The sequence below is a fragment of the Homo sapiens genome, chromosome 16 (genome assembly GCF_000001405.40).
Source record: "Homo sapiens chromosome 16, GRCh38.p14 Primary Assembly".
In the NCBI taxonomy this organism is placed as follows: Eukaryota; Metazoa; Chordata; class Mammalia; order Primates; family Hominidae; genus Homo; species Homo sapiens.
In genome coordinates this window covers 52,864,102-52,883,823 of record NC_000016.10, presented here as the reverse complement: position 1 = coordinate 52,883,823, position 19,722 = coordinate 52,864,102, and positions in this window count along the sequence as shown.

Genomic DNA, 19,722 nt, shown 5'->3' with positions numbered 1-19,722 from the left:
TTGTGACCAGCGAAAAATCTTTAATGTTGTCTTTCTCTGGACAAATATTGTCTTTCTTTGCAGATTCAATTTTTTTTTTGGCAAATACTCTGCCCTCTTTCATATATGTGTCCTCCATACCTGGATTAGATTGTATCAAAATGTCTGCAACCGTATTTGTAGCCAACATCCCAGGTGGAAAGAAAAGGAAAGCATTTTGTCATATAATCCTTTCTATGTAATAAGAGCAGTGGTTATTAGGATACTTTTGTTTTATAGTTGTAGCATCTGCTCACACTGGATGTCTCTGTCTGCTAGCTTCCATTGCTGGGGTGGACCAGCAGTAGGGCCACAATGCCTCCTGTCCCCACCAGGTCCTTCCTCAGATTTTCAGAATCTTGGATCAGGCCTGTGTGTGGCCCAGGGTGAAGGGCACCAGCTCTCCTGCAGATCACCTGTATCAATAACGCTGGAGGTTTGGAGGTGGTGAGAGTCAGACCCCAGTTCCAGTTCCTCCTCATGGTTCTAGAATGTTCTTCCGGTTGCATCTTGTTCTTATTCACCTTCGCTTCATGGCCATCTTCCCTTTGCAACGGCCAGGTCTGCTGACTTCAGGAGCAGACACAGGGGCAAAAGACCTTCACAGACCAATAACTGGCAACCATGTTCTCTGATGACCGAAATCCTTTAGCAACCTGTCCTATCACTCATGGTGGTTCTTCTTCTCTGATGCAACCGAACTGATAGATGCACACCCCATTGGCTCTTGGGGGTACATCCAGACTGAGAAGGTACACATTGGAATATCCCCCAAAGGACTCTGATGAAACTATTTTAATGCAGCTTTTGGTGTTTTTCTCTCTGTTCTCTGGAGACCATCAGAAGAAGGAGGAGAATGGATTCTTTGCATTCCCCCTTTTTCCTCTGTCTCTCTCTTTAAAAAATTCCTCTGTAGCTATTGTCCCTGGCATCAGGAGCCCTTAATATTGACTAAGCAGAATTGCATGGTGGGAGAGTCAAAAGAGAATTCATCATTTGGCAACATTTTCCTAAACAAACTCATGCCAAGTCTCTAAAAACTAAATATTTGAAAGAGTCCATCTCATTTGAGGATGTGTGACCTCTTCTGCTTTCTAAAATCTACTTGCTGCCAGGTCCTCCTTTTTAGGCAGGGGTCCTGTTACCTGGTACACAAGGGGTTAATTTGCCCAACTGCCCACGGACTCTATGGGTTATTCCATATTTATTTCAATTATATAAGTATACTGGGCTAGTGTATTTATTTTAAATCACATTATCTACAGCTTCCCAAGCATGTGTCAACAAAAAGAACGGTTTCAATTTAGTAGACTTTGAAATGGTGTGCAGTTTATCCTCACTTCAATTATATCCTCTACAGTAAGTCATGGGCAGCTTCAGGATTATTCAGGGCAAGGTAATGCTATCTGAAAGCATTGATTTTTCCCTCCCCTTCAAGAACAGTTCACTGAAGGATGCACTGGAGTCTCCTTTAAGGAAACACAAAAATACATTTCTCAGCTGCGACTTCTGAGAAATCTCAATCTTAGGGATTGAGGATGAAGCTGCTAGAGAAATTTCTGACTTTTAAAGAAAAACGTGCAAAGCTGGTTGCAATGGAGTGACCATAGCAGGGATCATGTTTCCTGGCTTGAAACCATAGGAGATGGATGGAACAAAGAAGGAGGAGAATGTCAGATAATTCATATACTCTACTTATGAATAAATACTTACTGGGCACCTATTATGCACCAAACCCTGGGCTAGGCGCTGTGAATACAGTGGTGAATAATAAAGATCAGAGCTAGCTTCATGGGCGGATGACCTGTGCAATTGCCTAAGACCACAAGCTTAGGAGAGCCTTGTGCTTGGTTTACTGTTCTACTGTCACCATCTTGAATTTTTTAATAATTTCAAATAAAAGGCCCCAAATTTTCATTTCGCACTGTGCCCTGCAAAATATATCATTGGTCTTGATAAATACAAAGTCATTTCTGCTGTCACAGAGTTGATAATTTAGTGGGGGAGATAGACATGGGCTAATTACCTAACCTACTAATTTCAGTTGTGACGAGGGCTTTTAGGCATCAGGTACAGGGTATTGGGAGGGTATGAAGCACAGGGGCCTAGCCTATTCTGGAGTAAGTGAAGACACTCAGAAGAAGAGCCATTTAAATACTTATTAGAAACATGTCAAGTTCTCTAGGGAAATCATTCCAGGCAGAAGAAACAGCACGTGCAAAGGCCCCCAGGCAGGAACTTGACCTGTTAGAATCAGAGAGGAGGCCAGTGTGGGCAGAGCACAGTGATCAAGGGAGGAGGACAGGATTCTCTCGCAAGAACACCAAGGTCTGGATGTACTGTGGTCAGGTTTCTATACTAATAGATATTCTCAGGTGGCAACTTGAAGTGACCCACAGACTCCTTTCGTTGGTGTCCAATTATTGCTGTGTGATCCGTGAATTAATCTAGCCTCCCTTAATACTGCAGTTGTCTGGAAGGGGGAGGGGCCTCTTGAAATATTATTCATTCTAAGTTACTTAAATTTAAATGATATATCAATAATAATTATTGACCATTTATTCAAGAATCCAGAATGAAGGTGTCATCCACAAACTTCCCCACAGCCATGGTGGTATTTACATACGGAGTCTGACTATTTGTAAATTCATTATGCCGCTGGATGTTGAGTAAACCATTTCATTTTTCTTTGGTTTTTATTTTTTACTACCTCTTTGGTACTTAAAAGCAGACGTTCCCTAGACCTTGGCTTTTTAGAATTTGGTGAATGTCCCTCTGCAGTCTCATACAGGTTGTGATTTTACAGTTTGTTACACTTTCATCTATCCTCCTTCAGAGCTGTAGAGAACTACTGTATTAAAGTCTCTTTACAGGTGAGTGGGGAACACCACACTATTTGTGATGGGGAAAAAATGGAAATCCACTGTACATTAGAAAGTTTACTTTGTTGAAACATTTGTAATTTGAAGTCTTGGGGAATAGTGAAACTGGAAGTGCTAAGGGAAAAAGAATTTCCAGCGATGAGAACTTAAATAACCCCATAATTCACGTTTTAAAAGACAGTCCATAGGTTTACTGAATTGATTTCTCTGGACAAACAGAAGAAAAATGTAAAATAAAGGAATAGAAAGCTCTACAAATGACCCTTATCTAGTGCCATTTTTATAATGTTCTCCTGTTGACACCTGACTTTACGGCCTGCTTAAAAATTTCAGGCAGAGTTGACTGGCAGTCATTAGCATAGGAAATAGCTTTGGGCTCAGTGATGGTAACAGGGTGTTTTTTAAAAAATATTTTCTCTCTTTTAATCTATTAAAGTCAGTTACATGTATGGATTTTATAATATTAAATCATTCTTGTATTTCTGTGATTAATCTCTAGTATGCTTGTGGTTGTGATTTTTTGGGTACTATTTTAATCATATTTAAGTATAAAATTCAATGGTATTGACTACATCCACAGTCTTGTGCAACCATTTCCAGAACTTTTTCATCACCCTAAACAGAAGCTCTGTGCTCATTAAAAAATAACTCCCCATGCACCCTCCCCCAGATGCAGAACGGGGAGTTATCATTATTTTCCAGTCTCCTTCTGTCCCTAGGAATTTGCCTATTCTAAGTACCTGATGAGTATATGAATGGGGTCCTACAATATTTGTCATTTTGTGTCTGGCTTATTTCACTTACCGTAGGTTTTCAAAGTTCATCCATGTTGTAGAATGTATTAGAACATGATACATTCTTTCTTTAAAGCTGAATAATATTCCATGGCCTGTATATGCCACCCTGCCTTTATCCCATTTATCTGCTGATGAAAATGCAGATTGTTTCTGCTGTTTGGCTGCTGTGAATAATGCTTGTAGCAGGACTTTTGTGTGGAAAAGAAGTGGATGTGCTTACCTTTCTGTGTCTCTTTGCTTACTTTGTGGTTCCTTTCTTGTTGAGAGGAGGGGTTGGGATTTGAATCTTGTCCCTGTTTCCAGCACCTGTGTATAAATGGGAATCGCCTGCCCTTTGTTATGGTAGATGGGCCAGAACAGTGGCTAAATGTATGGCTTTGGAATCAGACAGCTGTGAGTTCAAATCCTGCTTATACCACTCACAAGATAGGGGACTTGGGCAAGCTTCTCAACCTCTCTAAGCCTGGGTTGGTCCCTTCATGGAAGGGAGGTTATTAGACTTACATGGGAGGCTTACTGAAAGAATTAAGGTAGTGTTGAAAAAACCCTTTAAGTTAGTAGTGTTTGGAAAGCCCTTAGCTCAGTCATGTGTGTGTGCATGCTGAGAGCAAGACTTTGTGTGTGGAAAGCACTCTGTGAACAGTGGCTGTTGTTATCACTGATGAGACCCTCTAAGCAGAGCCCTGTAGGGGGAGAACCTTCACCTTTTCATGGTCCCCTTACAAAGTAGGGGTTTCTGGAGCAAGTGCTTGTTGCTATGAAAAGACTGGGACCATTAGAACATCAAAGTCAGAAGAGAGCTTAGTGGGACCTCAAATGTCTGCTCATTGGCATCACTGGGGAGCTTTATGATGCAGACTCATGGGCTGCAGTCCCAGCCTATCAAATCGGAATCTCTAGGCAGAGACTTGGAAATATGAGCTCAAACAATCTGAGATGGTTTTGAGGAGCTGTCACACTTGGGAAACTCTTCCTTGAATTCCTTGTTCTTTCTACTCATATTTTAATACTTTAGGCGGTTTGTAAATACCTATGTACTTATTCGTTGATTTAAGCCTTCTGTCTAAACAAAACCTTTGCTTCATCTTACTTTAAGAACCATGGGACTGAGGAAGAAATCACTGGTATTTCGGAAACTCACAGTTTTTGGAAAAGGAAACTTTCCTGTCAAAAAGTAATTATGGAAATTTCATAAAAAGGTGAAAGATTTTTAAGGAGAGTCAGACATAAAAATTACATTTGCAAATTGTACTTGGAAAGAATTATTTTAATTGAAGCAGCTATTCCCAAGCCTAAATCCGGTAGCTTCAGTGGCCTCAGAATGTTCATTTCATCCTTGTCAACTACTTTCTTTTCTGGTATGGCCTAAATATGCTACTTAACTAACAACTTGTACTTAATAGGTGCTTCTTGGGGACTATGCATGTGGGTCCTAAGAGGTGAATCTGTGCAAAGAATTTCATCACCATGGTGGGTCAGCAGGTAGATAACTTTGGGACTCATGATATCTTTGGCACTTCCTTCTTTCTCTATGTGAAGCGCCATCTTTCCGAAGAGGAAAGTGTCTCTCCATCATGCTTGAAGGCAGTCCTATAGGTTGGCTTTGTTCTTTCCTTCATTCATTCATCCATTCATTCCACAAATATTGATGAAATGCCTGCTAAACGCCAGGTACTATGGAAACAGAAATATATTGGTGAATCACATTGACACAGTCCCTAACATGTTAAAGCTTAATAATGCAGGGAAAGACAGCTTTTGTAGGGATAAGTACAAGTGTGAATCACATTGCAAAGGGAGAAGCAGTGGGCATTATAGAAGTGTGACCCAACACCTTGAGTAAGAAATGAGGGTGGGAGTCAGGCACAGTGGCTCATGCCTGTAATCCCAGCACTTTGGGAGGCCAAGGCAGGTGGATCACTTGAGGTCAGGATTTTGAGACCAGCCTGGCCAATATGGTGAAACCTCGTCTTTTCTAAAAATACAAAAATCATCTGGGTGTGGTGGCACGTGCCTATAATCCCAGATACTTGGGAGGCTGAGGCAGGAGAATTGCTGGAATCCTAGAAGGAGAGGTTGCGTGTGGTGAGCCAGGATTGCACCACTGCACTACAGCCTGGGCGACAGAACGAGACTCAAAAGAAAAAAAAAAAAGAAAATAGAAATGAGGGATGAGGGTGGGAAAGGACTTCTACCTTTTGAGGAATGAGTCATAGGTATTTGTCTCCTGGTGTTATCAAATTGGAACATATGAAGAATTAATATGGGCTATGTCTGTGATGTAAAGTTGATGGGGATTTTCCACATGTAAAAAGTTAATTTTAATGCAGGGTGTCAGTGATGGGAAGTACGGTTAGGAGGCTATTGTAGCAGGCAACAGGGCTCTGAGACCAGCAAATCCAAGTGAGTGTGGAAAATAACATGCCATGGTATAACATTTTGAAAGTATTAATCACGTGGTTTTAGTCTCTGTGTTTCTCTACAGCTCTTCGTGCTTCTCCATTCATTGAGCCTGGCTCTCCATCTTCACTGCCTTTGCAGAGATTCAGAGACAAGAGTTTCGAAGGAGTTCAGGAAATACCACCGGAAAATATGATGTTTTGGCATGTTAATTACTTTGAAGTGAGGGCATGTGGGGAAGAGCGATGATAGGCAGAGACTTTCTTGGAACGTCCCTTATTTACCTAATGACAGTCCTCCAAAAGGGACTCAATAGTCATGAATCCCCTTCCCAGGAATCCCACCAAGCAGGGAAGATTGATTTGTATCACAGGAGAGAAGACTGGGGGTCATGATCATGGCCAGGTAGCCTTTGTCACAGGCTGCCACCTATTCTTTTGTTTTTGAGATACAGTCTCACTCTGTCACCCAGGCTGGGGTGCAGTAGTGCGATCTCAGCTCACTGCAACCTCCACCTCCCGAGTTCAAGTGATTCTCCTGTCTCAGCCTCCCAAGTAGCTGCGATTACAGGCATGCATCACCACACCGGCTAATTTTTTGTATTTTTAGTAGACACGGGGTTTCACCATGTTGGCCAGGCTGGTCTCAAACTCCTGACCTCAAGTGATCTGCCCACCTCTGCTTCCCAAAGTGCTGGGATTATAGGCATGAGCCACTGCATCTGGCCTGTCCCCTATTCTTCTGTGGTCTCAATCATCTTTTCCCCAAATCACTTACTCTCCCCTAACTTGCCTGCATCCCCCCTTCCATCTCCTCTGTGAAGAGCATGTACAAGCTTCCAGATCTCACTGGGGTTTGAGTATTCTCTTAAATTTGTACACTTTTTCTCCTGTTAATCCGGCTAGTAATAATTTCTTTCACAGACTCAGTGATCAAACCCTCAGAAGGTAAAGGGAAAGTTTTACCTCCTCCACTGTCTCTTCTTGGTTTTGAGTTCCAAAAGCGTAGGCCTGGGAGAAACAGAAGGATTAGAGTTGCCTACAAGAGAAACACCACAGTTCCTTGTGCTGGAAGGGATATCCCGGCATGGGGTCACTTCCTGTTTGCTGTGAGGTTCATTTCTCATCCTTCTGCTCCTCTGGTTCCTGTCTTAGGGTTGATTCCTACAGAGTCCATCCCATCCCCCAGGTTCTCTTGTTCCTCTGGCTTCTGGGTAGATTTGCCCAAGGCGAGCCATAGACATTCTGTCTGAGGGTGAGAGGAGGGAGTTAGGATATTTCTCCCTCATTTTTCTGCTTCTGGTGGCGTCTCTGACAGTAGCTGCATTACCATGGCTCCAGCTCCCAGTAGGCAGCTACCCCCACTCTGGCTCTTATCTGTAGGGAACACCTGGGCTCTGGGAACACCTCCTCCATCCTGCGTTCCTGCAACTCTCCAGGTTGCCTCAATGTCCCCTGATGTGTTTTCAGCTTTTCTAACACCTCTGTTACTCATTCTCCACATTCAATGCTCTCAAGTTGGCCCAAGTTCTGTTTTCCTGGTTGGATGGTGACTGATACCTTGGAGTTGTCAGGAGGGTTCATGAGGAAGGAGAGAGATGGATGATGGGACCTGTGCTGAAGGAAGCAGACTGGAGGTCCCATATGGATGGATCCGACAGGAGTTTCTCTAAGATACTGTCTGGCCTCCATTTCAGCACCTGATCAAGTGAGCACGGTTGCAGCTCGGAGGGGCTGAGAAACCAGCATCTTTAGATCATTAACTGCCCTTACCTCTGGCACCTGGCAAAGACTCCCCTTGGCCAGCAGCTACAGCAACCTTGCTGGGCCCCCAAATTTTACCCTATATAGAAAACCCCCTATTAAGGCTCTAGGACACTTGTGAGCCCTCAAGACCACAGACGAGGTCCTAGCCTCTAAAACTCCTCATAGCTCAGGCCCCATCGATAATAAAGGAAGAACATTTGCATCACTTTTTGCTTTCTTCTCAAGAACTGGGAAGGTTATAGCTGGACATTACCTAGAGACCCTCTAGTCCAAATTTTTCATTTTGTGGACAAGGATGTTGAGGCTCAGGGAAGGGATTTTGGCTGCTCAAGAACTCCTAGTTCATCTTGCATCTACTAAATTTTGGTGAATATTTAATATCATTTAGAAAAAAAAATCTCCACTCCTACCTTTCACACCCTGAAACATTCTAAATCTTAAATTATTTTGTGTTCGAGAGTAGAAAGCAGCGACTGAACAGAAGTCTGCATGTGCCTAAATCTTTATCAATCCATGCATATTCGGTTGTATAAAAATGTCAAAGATCTATTTTGGGGTTCTGCAAAAGAGAATTCTTTCTGGAATGGCACTTGAACTGTTAAATATCATCTCAAATCTCATTTAGGGGGCTTATCACCTTCTAAAAGCCTGGCACAGGGCAAAAGTGGATTAAGGTTGAAATTTTCCAGAGACTTTGTCTCAGATCAGTAAAATACTTCTGATCACTTTCTATCACCATCAGAACCAGAATGGCTTCTGAATCTTGTGGTCTACTGTCATTATTAAGAAGAATTGAGTACCATGGTTGAGAGAATTATTGTTCTCCAGAATTTTTGTTATTTAGAAGGAAAAAAAATTTGCATTATTTATTTTATTTTATTTTAGACAGAATCTCCCTCTGTCTCCCAGGCTGGAGTGCAGTGGCGCCATCTCGGCTCACTGCAACCTCCGCCTCCCGGGTTCAAGTGATTCTTGTGCCTCAGCTTCCTGAGTAGCTGGGACTACAGGAGTGGGCCACCATGCCCAGCTAATTTTTTTATTTTTAATAGAGACAGGGTTCCACCATGTTGGCCAGGCTGGTCTCAAACTCCTGACCTTAAGTGATCCACCTACCTTGGCCTCCCAAAGTGCTGGGATTACAGGTGTGAGCCACCATGCCTGGCCAGGGTTATCTTTTTAAGAAAGATATTGACTCCTACTTATTTTGCTCTTTCTCCCTCCAGTTCTCTAAAAGAATACATTCCAAGGACTCAGGGTTAGGGGTTTCAAATGTTTTGTGTTTAGGATCCTAAGCAATATGTCTGAGTAGTTGCAAGACACATATATTTTGCAACATCCTCTCCTCCCCCGGGAATGAATTCTTTATCTTTAATAAGGTGATCTGTCCAGGCCTAGGTAGATTATCTGTGAGATAATTTGGCAGGTAAATGCAACACCAAGATCGTCTCTATTCCATTCCTTGTGAAATTCCAAGAGGCATTACTAGGGACTCACTCAGGCATAAAAGTTTAGAATCTGTGTCTTTGCATGAATTTAATCATCTCCATCAGAATCCTTAAGGAATTACAATAACAGTGATTCATTCATAATTCACAATTTCCATTATCTTCTTTCTCCATCTAGTGTGGGGGGTAAAATTTATGGCTTCATTTACATTGTGTTCTATGAATAATAGAAGAAATACAGTAAAGACCCATGGAAATGTTCTTGCTGCAGATGCACTTTGGAGCACATCTGCATCACAATAGCCTCCTCGCCTTCGTGCAGTGCAGGATCTGCCAAGCTTGCAGCTGCGAAAGGGAGCATTTCAAAGGGGCCATTCTCATTATACAGAGTCTTCTCTTTCTTTGAACTTCAAAGCAGAATGAGGAGACCTTAAATGATATGGGGTAGGTAAGTGATGAAATTGTAACTTCAGGTATAAAATATCTTCAATTATGTGTGTGGAAAAACACAGCCATTCAGTGGAGCAAATATGTTTGCTTAGAGTGATATCTGGCTGGCAGGCAGGAACAAATTTAATCTTAAGATTTCTTCGAGCTGTTGCGGCCTTAAAGATAATCTAGCCCAAAGCCCTTCTTTTGCAAATGGGGAAACCAAGGCATAAAGAAATAAAATGACAAATTCAAGGTTGCATAGTACAGAGAAGGCCAGGAGCACTATCTGACCACTGGCTCCTGGTCTGGTAGACCATATTATCGTTGTTTTAAACAACAAAGCACCTGGCTTTGTGACATAGCAATAAAGCTAGCAGTAATCCTCTTGGTGAGGGATTTTCAAACACGGGCGTTTTCAGGGATTCCCCCTCCAACAATAATAATCTCTCTCAATTGAAAATCTTCACTGAAAAACATTTCGAGATTTGAAGAAAGAAATTTGTCATACTTCTGCGATTAAGTAAATCTCATTTTTCTTCTCCCAAGGAATGATAATAAAGCTGATGAAAACCTTTTGACGTTCAGATTTCTCCCCCTGGTGTCTAGTGGTAGCCCAGTGCAATACTTTATTACTACTCCATCCATAAAAGAATAAAAAGAAACCCATGCATTTAGTGAATGGTCTGTCCTTTGAATCAGTAGCTTTCCAGAAATCATAGGGAACATACCCTAGCCAAGCCAAACCCCTTTAACATAGTAGAGACTCAATGTATTTTTGTTGAAAAGATTAAATTTTTAAAAACGTGCTTTTACTTGTAGTTTGGTGTGGGCCATAAAGAGTAGTTCCTAAAACCCATTATGTTCATTATTCCCTTTCCTGCACCATGCTTCCTACTTCCCCATCCCTGGTCCTTTGCTATTTTGTTTTGAAGAAAAAAAGCAAATCGCCAGGCATCGTTTTGGGAAGGATCTCTTATTTCTTACAGAAGACTCACATAGCATGCTGTGTCTCTAATTTTATTAAAGTAACTCTGATATCATGTGAGTAGGGAGGCCTTTGCTGGAAAGAGCAACTGATATTAGCAGGCAAGACACATACAAATTCAACAGCGCCGTGATTCACGGACGCATATTCTCTGTGATCCAACATGTCTAATACATTTAGTCATGCACAATAAAAACCAAACAAAAGAATCAACCATCGGCCTTTCACTGCCCGCTTCCCACCCCAAGCTTTAAGGAATTCCTCTAGTTATGCACACCCAAACCAAAATACTGTGTTTTCTTTCCCTCTCAAATGAATGAGACAACTCAAAGAGCACTTACTCTAGACAGAAGAAAAATGAGCAGATAACTTTATCTTTTTGTGCTAAGTGTTTACTCCACCCTATTCCAGAAGAGTAATTTGGCGACAAGCTGATCTCATTTTATAAAGAGAATTCTAGAATGCACCAACGAATCCCTGTTAAGCAACAAACTTGAATTTCTATAGTTTACAAAGTATCTAAGATCCAATCTATTGCTCATTTCAAAAGTCTACCCGCTAAACTAAAATCAGACTGATTAAGATACTCCTTGGATTCCACAGTAAAACCACACTGCCTGCTAATTTCTCTGCCTGCTTTTTACCCACTGGGTTATTATTCATTCAGTTGCAAGATATGCTTATTAAGCATAGAATCAAGACCAGATTTTTGATTCTTACCTGTAAGACTCTTGAGGATTTTAAGAACCTCATGGTCTACTGCATGTCTCTCCTTTCCATAAACTATTAGTTTTCCTGCCTCATCATAATGGGATAGGAGATGGGTTTGGTGTGGAATTAAACATACTTTTATGTTTAATTATACATACTTTGTTTCTGAATCCTGGTTCTCCTTTATCTGGTCATAGAGACTCAATTTATCTGTTGAATTCTACTGTGATCATTCTCTTCTGGAAGAGACATGGATATAAAATAAAACTCTCAACTGTATTTTACAGAGAGTGGCAAGAGAGTTTCCACTTCGTGGGGACTCTATGCAAACTGTTTTTCTCTTGAGGACTGCCTTTTTATTCCACTTTATTATATTAATATTTATGTATGTCTTTATTTTGGGTGATGTACCTGCAAGCAAGAATGACCTTATAGTTAGTGCCTAAGAAGCCATGCAACATTGGCAACTTAATGGCTTAAGGGTAGATGTCGAACATCTAGACTGGAAGCCTGGTGATCATGCTGTTCTTACCTGGGGACAATTTTGCCTCCCAGGGGACCTTTGGCTATGTCAGGACACATTTTTGATGGTCACAGCTGGTGCAGGTTTGCTGTTTGCATCTGGTGGGTGGAAGCCAGGGATGCAACTACTCATCCTACAATGCACAGGAGAGGCCTACAACAAAGAATGATTCCTGCCCAAAACCTCAATAGTGCCAATCCTTGAGAAATCCTGCTGTAGATCAAGTCTCAGCTGCAATATTGTGTCTGGCTCTGAGTCCAATACTTTGAAACAAATCTTGCCAATCTGGAGCTTGTCCCAAGAGGGTGGCCAGAAAGTGAGGGATTTGAAACAGTGTCAAATAAGGTATGGTGAAAAGGACACAGGGTATTTAATTTAAACTAAGTGTGCCTCAGGAGACACGGAAGTTTGTTTTGTTACTTCAGAGACCAAACAGGAAGCCACAGGGAGAGAGATTTCATTTTAATGTAAGAAAGTCATTTCTAACAATCAAAGTTACCAGAGTAGAATAGGATTCCTTGTGAAATAATGAGTTCCCTGTTACTGGTTAAGTTGAAGTATATCTCACCAGAACTTACATTCCCTGAGAATAGCCAAAGTGCCCATTTTCCTTCCCACCAGAGACTCATATAGAACCCAAGATATGCTAGTTATCTAATAAACAGTAGTTTGATTATTCATCAGATTATTTACCAGTACTTTGATTATTTAACCAAGACATTGTAGATGATATTCAAGGGTAGCAATACTCCAAATTTTATTTTTAGACTGGCCTCATGTTTCTAGCAAAACCTTAAGAAATATATTATTTTAATTTTAAGGCAACTGTAACTAGAACTCATGGCTAGCAGAACTCAATAAAATAATTTTAAGCTACATTTGGGGAATTCATTTTTGGAGAATCTGAATCCATATATAGTCACACATTGACATGAAAGGTGTGTCCTACTTTCAACGACACCAATATAGTAGACAATCTAGAAGATACATATTTTAAACTTTTTATTGAAGTATTACGTACAGAGGAGTGCACATGAGATAAGTCTACAGTTTGTTGAACTTTTACAACCTGAAAATACTCATGCCTCTATGACCCAGATTGACAAACCGAGCATTTCTAGTGCCTCAAGCCCCATTTGCGTTCCTTTTCAGTCACTGTTCCCACAAGGGAAGCCACTCTTCTGACTTCTAATGGCACTGAATAGTTTCGTCTATTTTTTCACACGTTTATACTTTATATAAAAAGAATCATAGTGTGCACACACTTTTCTTTCTGTGTTCTTTCACTAAACTCTTTGTAAGATTCATCCAAGTTCTTAAGTGTAGTTCTTAAGTGTAGTTGTAGATCACTTAGTCTTATTACTATTATTATTATTTTATTGTGTGACTCTACCATGAGTAGAGTCACTCTGTCACCGAGGCTGGAGTGCAGCGGCACCATCTTGGCTCACTGCAACCTCCACCTCCTAGGTTTAAGCAATTCTTCTGTCTCAGCCTCCCAAGTAGCTGGGACTACAGTCGTGCACCACCATGCCTGGTTAATTTTTGTATTTTTAGTAGAGAAGGGGTTTTGCCATGTTGCCCAGGCTGGTCTCAAACTACTGACCTCAAGTGATCGACCCACCTTGACCTCCCAAAGTGCTGGGATTACAGGCATAAGCCACTGTGCCTGGCTGAAAATTTCATATTTTGTATGCAATGAAAAAACACCTCCCCAAACTGGCCGGCCATCCGCTTCTTGATAAAGCAAGGCACCTATATGCTTCTTTGCTGGGTTAGAGCACACATCTACCTTTTCCTGCTCCAATAATAGACATTATTCTTTCTTCAGTTGCTGGGAAGATAGATCCTAGACAACTTGGGGCACTCTTTTAGCCCAGGTCTAATCTATGGAATGATCAAAAAGCTTTATTTAGTTAAAAAAAGGGTGGCCGTGGGGCTGGAGCTTTCAGACTAAATCATTTGCAGTCCACACCGCCAGTCTGTGTGTGTAGCCAAGTATGCATATTGCCCCACAAATTGATGTGAAGAAAATGTAAAGTTATTTTTTCACCACCAAACTTAATTTTGCTGTTGACTTTCCATTCTGAGAGGGACGGCAGAGGGTGGGACAGAATTTTGATCTATTTGGGGTCTATTCTGCTCATTTCTGCATGTTTCTCTTAGGGCTGTGTCTAATTTCTTGGATCCCTACTGAGGTTACAGCTTTATAGAGGAGGGGTATCAAGTCTTGCATCCTCAAATCTCATGGCTGTCATTTGCTGAGAATGTCCCACCTGGCCTGGATCATTGATTGAGGCTGCTGTGTTGTCCTTCACTTCAGGAAGCCCAGCTTTTCCAGCTTTGATCTCCCTCAGCTAGTGCTGCTCCCCATTTAGGGTCACGAAAAACATTTGATTGCTCTCCTGTTCCACTCTGAGGCCAAGGGCAACTTGCCAACTTTGTCCAAAGTCCTTCACCAGGCAGACATGTCTTTTCTTTCCACATTGCTGTTGGCTGCAGACAATCCCACTTTAGGGACCCTCTTTGTTCTATGGGACAATTTTCCTCTAGTTTTGGCTTCTATCATTCCTTGAACTTACTGGACTCAGACTGGAGAGTATGGAGAGGACAGAGAGTTTGAGGGGTTATGATAAACTGTATCTTTTCATGCCTACTGAGTTACAAACAAATTGAGAAGAGTAAGCAGATGGAGTGCATCATTCAGGCACTTACTCAAATCAGAACATCTGGAACACCTACTATGTGCTAAGGAAAGCTGGTATCTGAGAATGCAACTTAAGTGTGAATCAACAATGAGCTTGAAGACTGTGGTGGTCAGCTAGGCTACACTATAGTGTGTCAGGAGTTTGTTCCTTCTGGTGGGTTCATGGTCTTGCTGACTTCAGGAATGAAGCTGTGGACCTTCATCGTGAGTTTTACAGCTTTTAGAGGTGGTGTGGACCCAAAGAGTGAGCAGCAGCAAGATTTATTGGGAAGAGCAAAAGAACAAAGCCTCCATAGTGTAGAAGGGGACCTGAGCGGGTTGCTGCTGTTGACTGGAGTGGCCAGCTTTTATTTCCTTATTTGTCCCCGCCTGTGTCCTGCTGATTGGTCCATTTTACTGGGTGCTGATTGGCACAATTTACAGGGTGGTGATTGGTCCATTTTACAAACCTCTAGCTAGCCACAGAGTGCTGATTGGTGTGTTTTTACAGAGTGCTGATTGGAGCATTTTACAAACCTCTAGCTAGCCACAGAGCGCTGGTTGGTGCGTTTTACAATCCTAGCTACAGAGTGCTGATTGGTGTATTTTACAATCCTCTTGTAAGACAGAAAAGTTCTCCAAGTCCCCACCAAACCCAGAAGTTCAGCTGGCTTCACCTCTCAATAGCACCCAGTTATTCAATCAAACCCTAATCTAGGTGTGGCTGTGGAGTTAATTTTGTAGATGTGGTTAACATTGGCTTTATGTATAGGAGATTATCCTCAATAATCTGGGTGAGCCTCATCCAATCAGTTGAAAGACATGAAGAGCATATTTAAATAAAAAAAAAAAAAGAAAAAGAGAAAGAGAGAGGAAGCGTGAGAGATATGCCTTTTTAATGTTATGCTAAAATAGATCCCTTCTTGTAAAAGAAAACATTATAAGCCTTTTCTCACTCCCTCAAACTCTTGAGGAAAACAAAGATAATCAAGAACTGTGAGAGAAAATTTTATTTTACATACTCAAATTATAAGAAGTATGAATGTTAGAACTGCTTTATTTTACCAGCTGAAGTTCCTCTAATAATATTATTGCCCTTCAAGAATGTGGAGAAGAGAATGCTTATACAGTGTTGGTGAGGATGTAAATTAGTACAAGCTCTATGGAAAATGGTACACAAGATTTCTCAAAGAGGACTAAAAATAGAATTACCATTCAATACAGCAATCCCAATACTGAGTATTTACCCAAAGGGAAAGAAATCATTATATCAAAAAGCTTGTAGGTTTATTTCAGCATTGTTCACAATAGCAAAGCTATGGAATCAACTTGTGTCCATCAACAGATGGTTGTATAAAGAAAATGTGGCATATTCCAGTATATTTAATGGAATATTATTCAGCCATAAAAAGAATGAAATAATGTATTTTGCAGCAACATGGATGGAACTGGAGGCCATTATCTTAAGTGAAACAACTTAGAAACAAAAAGTCAAATATCACATGTTCTCACTTACCAGTGGGAGCTAAATAATGGGTAAACATGGGCATAGAGTGTGGAACAATCGGCACTGGAGACCTGGAAGGGCGGAGGGTGGGACAGAGGTGAGGCTAAGAAGAAATTACTTAATGGGCACAATGTGTACTATTTGGGTTATGGGTACACTAAAAGCCCATACTTCACCACTATGCAATATATCCATGTAACAAAACTGCACTTGTGCTCCTTAAATTTATACTACTCTGTCTGTCTGTCTGTCTGTCTATCTATCTATCTATCTATCTATCTATCTATCTATCTATCTATGTATCATGTATCATCTATCATTGCCCTTGATCCAAGTGCTTACTGAAGGAGCTAATTTCAGTTTCCTTCCTTTATTGTATTTTATTTAGAATGTTACCCATCATATTACAATTCAATAAAATGCCATTATAATCCAAACTTTTAAACAATTGCTTAAGACAAAAACACCATGCTACAAATACTTGTGCAATGCGTTTTAGTTTGAATCTAGCCAGTTTTCACATAATATCTGCTGATTATAGGAAAATGCAATTTACAAGATCTAGAGTTGCTTCCATATGTTTTTCTCCTTAGGTCTATGCTATTTCTGTACATTGTACAGAAATTTCAAATCCCAGTTATGCCATCTATTTATTGTGTATCCTTGGGTAAATTAATATCTCTGAGCTTTGGTTTCTGTTTGATTATCCCCATATGTGAAATGGGGATAATGATTCTACCTGTCTGGGTGGGGCGGGGCGGGGGGGCAGATGTGTGAGGAGTAAATGAAATCACATATGTAAATTGCTTAGTGGATATCTGAGTAAAGATGACATTTGGAATTCATGCATTTTACTTATTTACTTCCGTTCTCTCTTAAGCCCCACTAAAACGATACTAAAAAGAGATGGGCTTTTGTTGTTGTTGTTTTGAATGAATAAATGGGAGAGGAGACAGTTGCAACAAATTTGTGGAAGCTGGAATGCTAAGTGACTTAACACACTTGAGAAGATGGAGTCCTAAGCCTGCAGCATGGAAAACCAAAAATCAACTGATTTAAACCACTGACTCAAAAGATTGAAATTGGTACCAGAAAATGAGGTAAAATATGGGATCAGAGCCCAGGAGGACTGGTTCAAAGACTGTTTAGGAAGAGTTTGAGGCTCACATTTCCTCCCCAGTGGCATGCAGCTGGACAACCGCCCCTCCTTTATCCCAACGAAAGACCTGGAGCTCATTCTTTGGCAAGGTTAAAGCAGAGGTATGTGGATGAGGGTAGCTCAGTTATTCCAGAAGGTGGGTTTATCCTACTGAAAACACTGGGTGTAAATGAATGAATGCATTCTGGCTGCTAAGATTCCCCCCAACTATCCTTTCACTCAGCTTCTGGAATTGACTTTCAGGCCTTTTTCCTTCCTAGGAGATCTAGGAAATGAGTCTTCTCTCGGGAATCTGGTCTGGTTTGTGGACATTTTACAAGGGAACAGCCCAGCCCGATCACCTGGTAAAGTTCACAGACAGTATAGCACACTTAGAGCTTCTAGTCTCTTTTTTTCTCCATATTCTTCAATACAGCAGACAATTGGATTACCAGAGTTAAGAGAAAGCTTAGCCATTGACAGAAGTCAAAGTGAACATCAACAAAAACCAATCTGGTAAAAAATAGAAACCATGCAGGGAAAAGAAAAAAAAATTTCCTATCATTATTACATCCATAAATCAAGAAGAGGATGCTTTAAAAAAGGAACATTTAGAAAACAAAATAGAGTTCTTAATTAAAAACGAGGGCAGAGATGAAAAACTCAAGAGTTAGAGAATTCAGCTGAGGAAAAATGAAAACAAGAAAATCTAGAAAGTAGAGTTAAAAAGACAATATGATAGAAAGTAAGAAAATTTAGAGGACCACCAGCTCACGAAGTTCAAGATCTGAACATCGGGAGTTCCAGAAAGAAAACACGTGGGGAGAAACAATAGAAGAACATTTCTCAAAACGGAAGGGCAAATTCCCAGATAGGGAGAGCCATGGAGTTGGAAGCTGGAATGCTATTACTATTAGTGATTGAAAATACACAAGCCTCATATATCTCAGAACACTAGCAGCGAGAAAGAGTGAGAAAAAGAAAGCGAGAGAGAAACTAGTTGCACACAAAGGCCCAGGAATCAGAATGATTTTGAAATTCTCAAAAGCCATACTGGATGTTGGAAGACAAATGGAAGGATGTTTTCAGAATTTGAAGAAAAATGATTGCCACTTGGAATTCTATACACAGCCAGACTGTCAATCATGTGTGAGAGTGGACAAGCCTTACGTGAGTTTTCTAGCAGAGATGGTGAAAAAATGGCAATAGGAGCTATTTTAGGTGTATGTGAAAATCAGAAATGCTTTTTCTTTGGGCTGGCCCCAGTTTTGTTTCTTTTACTTTAAAGATAGGAGTTTCCTGTTGTCTAGATAATAAGAGTTGTCAAAAGCTTTTATTGCTGTTGTTTTACTGTTCTTAAATTCTTTGCTCGAAACAATATTACAAAGCATTTCTTTATTTCCCATAATAATTACAAAGCATGAGGGTCAAATAAACCTGTTTTTAGGTAAGCAACGTTTCAACAATTTTATTTCCTACATATCCTTTCCCAAGAAGATACTAAAGTATGTACTCCACCCAAAAGAGGGAATAAACCAATAAGAAGGAAGATATGAGATTCAGAAAAGAAGAGATCCAACACAAGGAAGAGGCAAAGAGAATCCACAGGAAGATGTTGAAGATAGTAGCCATGCAACAGGCCTAGAAGGCAACCAATTCAGGTTGGAGCATACCAGAAACCTCCAGGAAAGATTTCTCTAAGAATAGGAAATTGGTAGAACATCAGATAACATAAATGTCTTAAAAAGAGTTTTAGACCAAAGGCTGGGAGTTTGGAGTTGCACTAGTGGTATGTTCATAGAAAACAAAACGAATGAGAAAGCAAGACAATTATCTCTGGGGAAATTTGCACGGGAAATAAAAATAATTAGTGTACACATGACTCAGCTGTGAGCAGCGTTTACATAGTCATATGCCAACACAATATCGATCTGACAAAATTACCAAATAGCTATATTAGGTACCCGAGGGAGTGGAAAGGATGTGCAGTGATGGGGCAGGGGAATGAATAAAAGTTCCATTATCGTTATCCATAGAAGGAGGCCAATAGATTATGTCTAAACTACAAAATGAAGAAGTGGTAAGAAATATGTTGTTCAGAATTGTGAAGGTAAATGCCAAAATATTCCCTTTTTAGATTTGAAAGTGGAGTCCGCTAGGAAGATAGATGTGGGGCAAAGGGTAGGAATTGCTGTGTTTCGTACAAATTTGTAAAACTCTTTGACTCTTTAAATATGGACACATATATTTGATAAATATAAAATGGAAAAAAGTCTCAGCAGAGTGTCTGTGTAATAAGTCCTCAATAATTAGCCCTTAATACTAACTTTATTATACCTTGTATGCTCAATCCTGGGCAACTGTGAAAGGAAGCAAGAAAAACTTTCCTTGACGTGAACGACTCAGTCTTTATGTTAGTTCTAAGCAGTTTT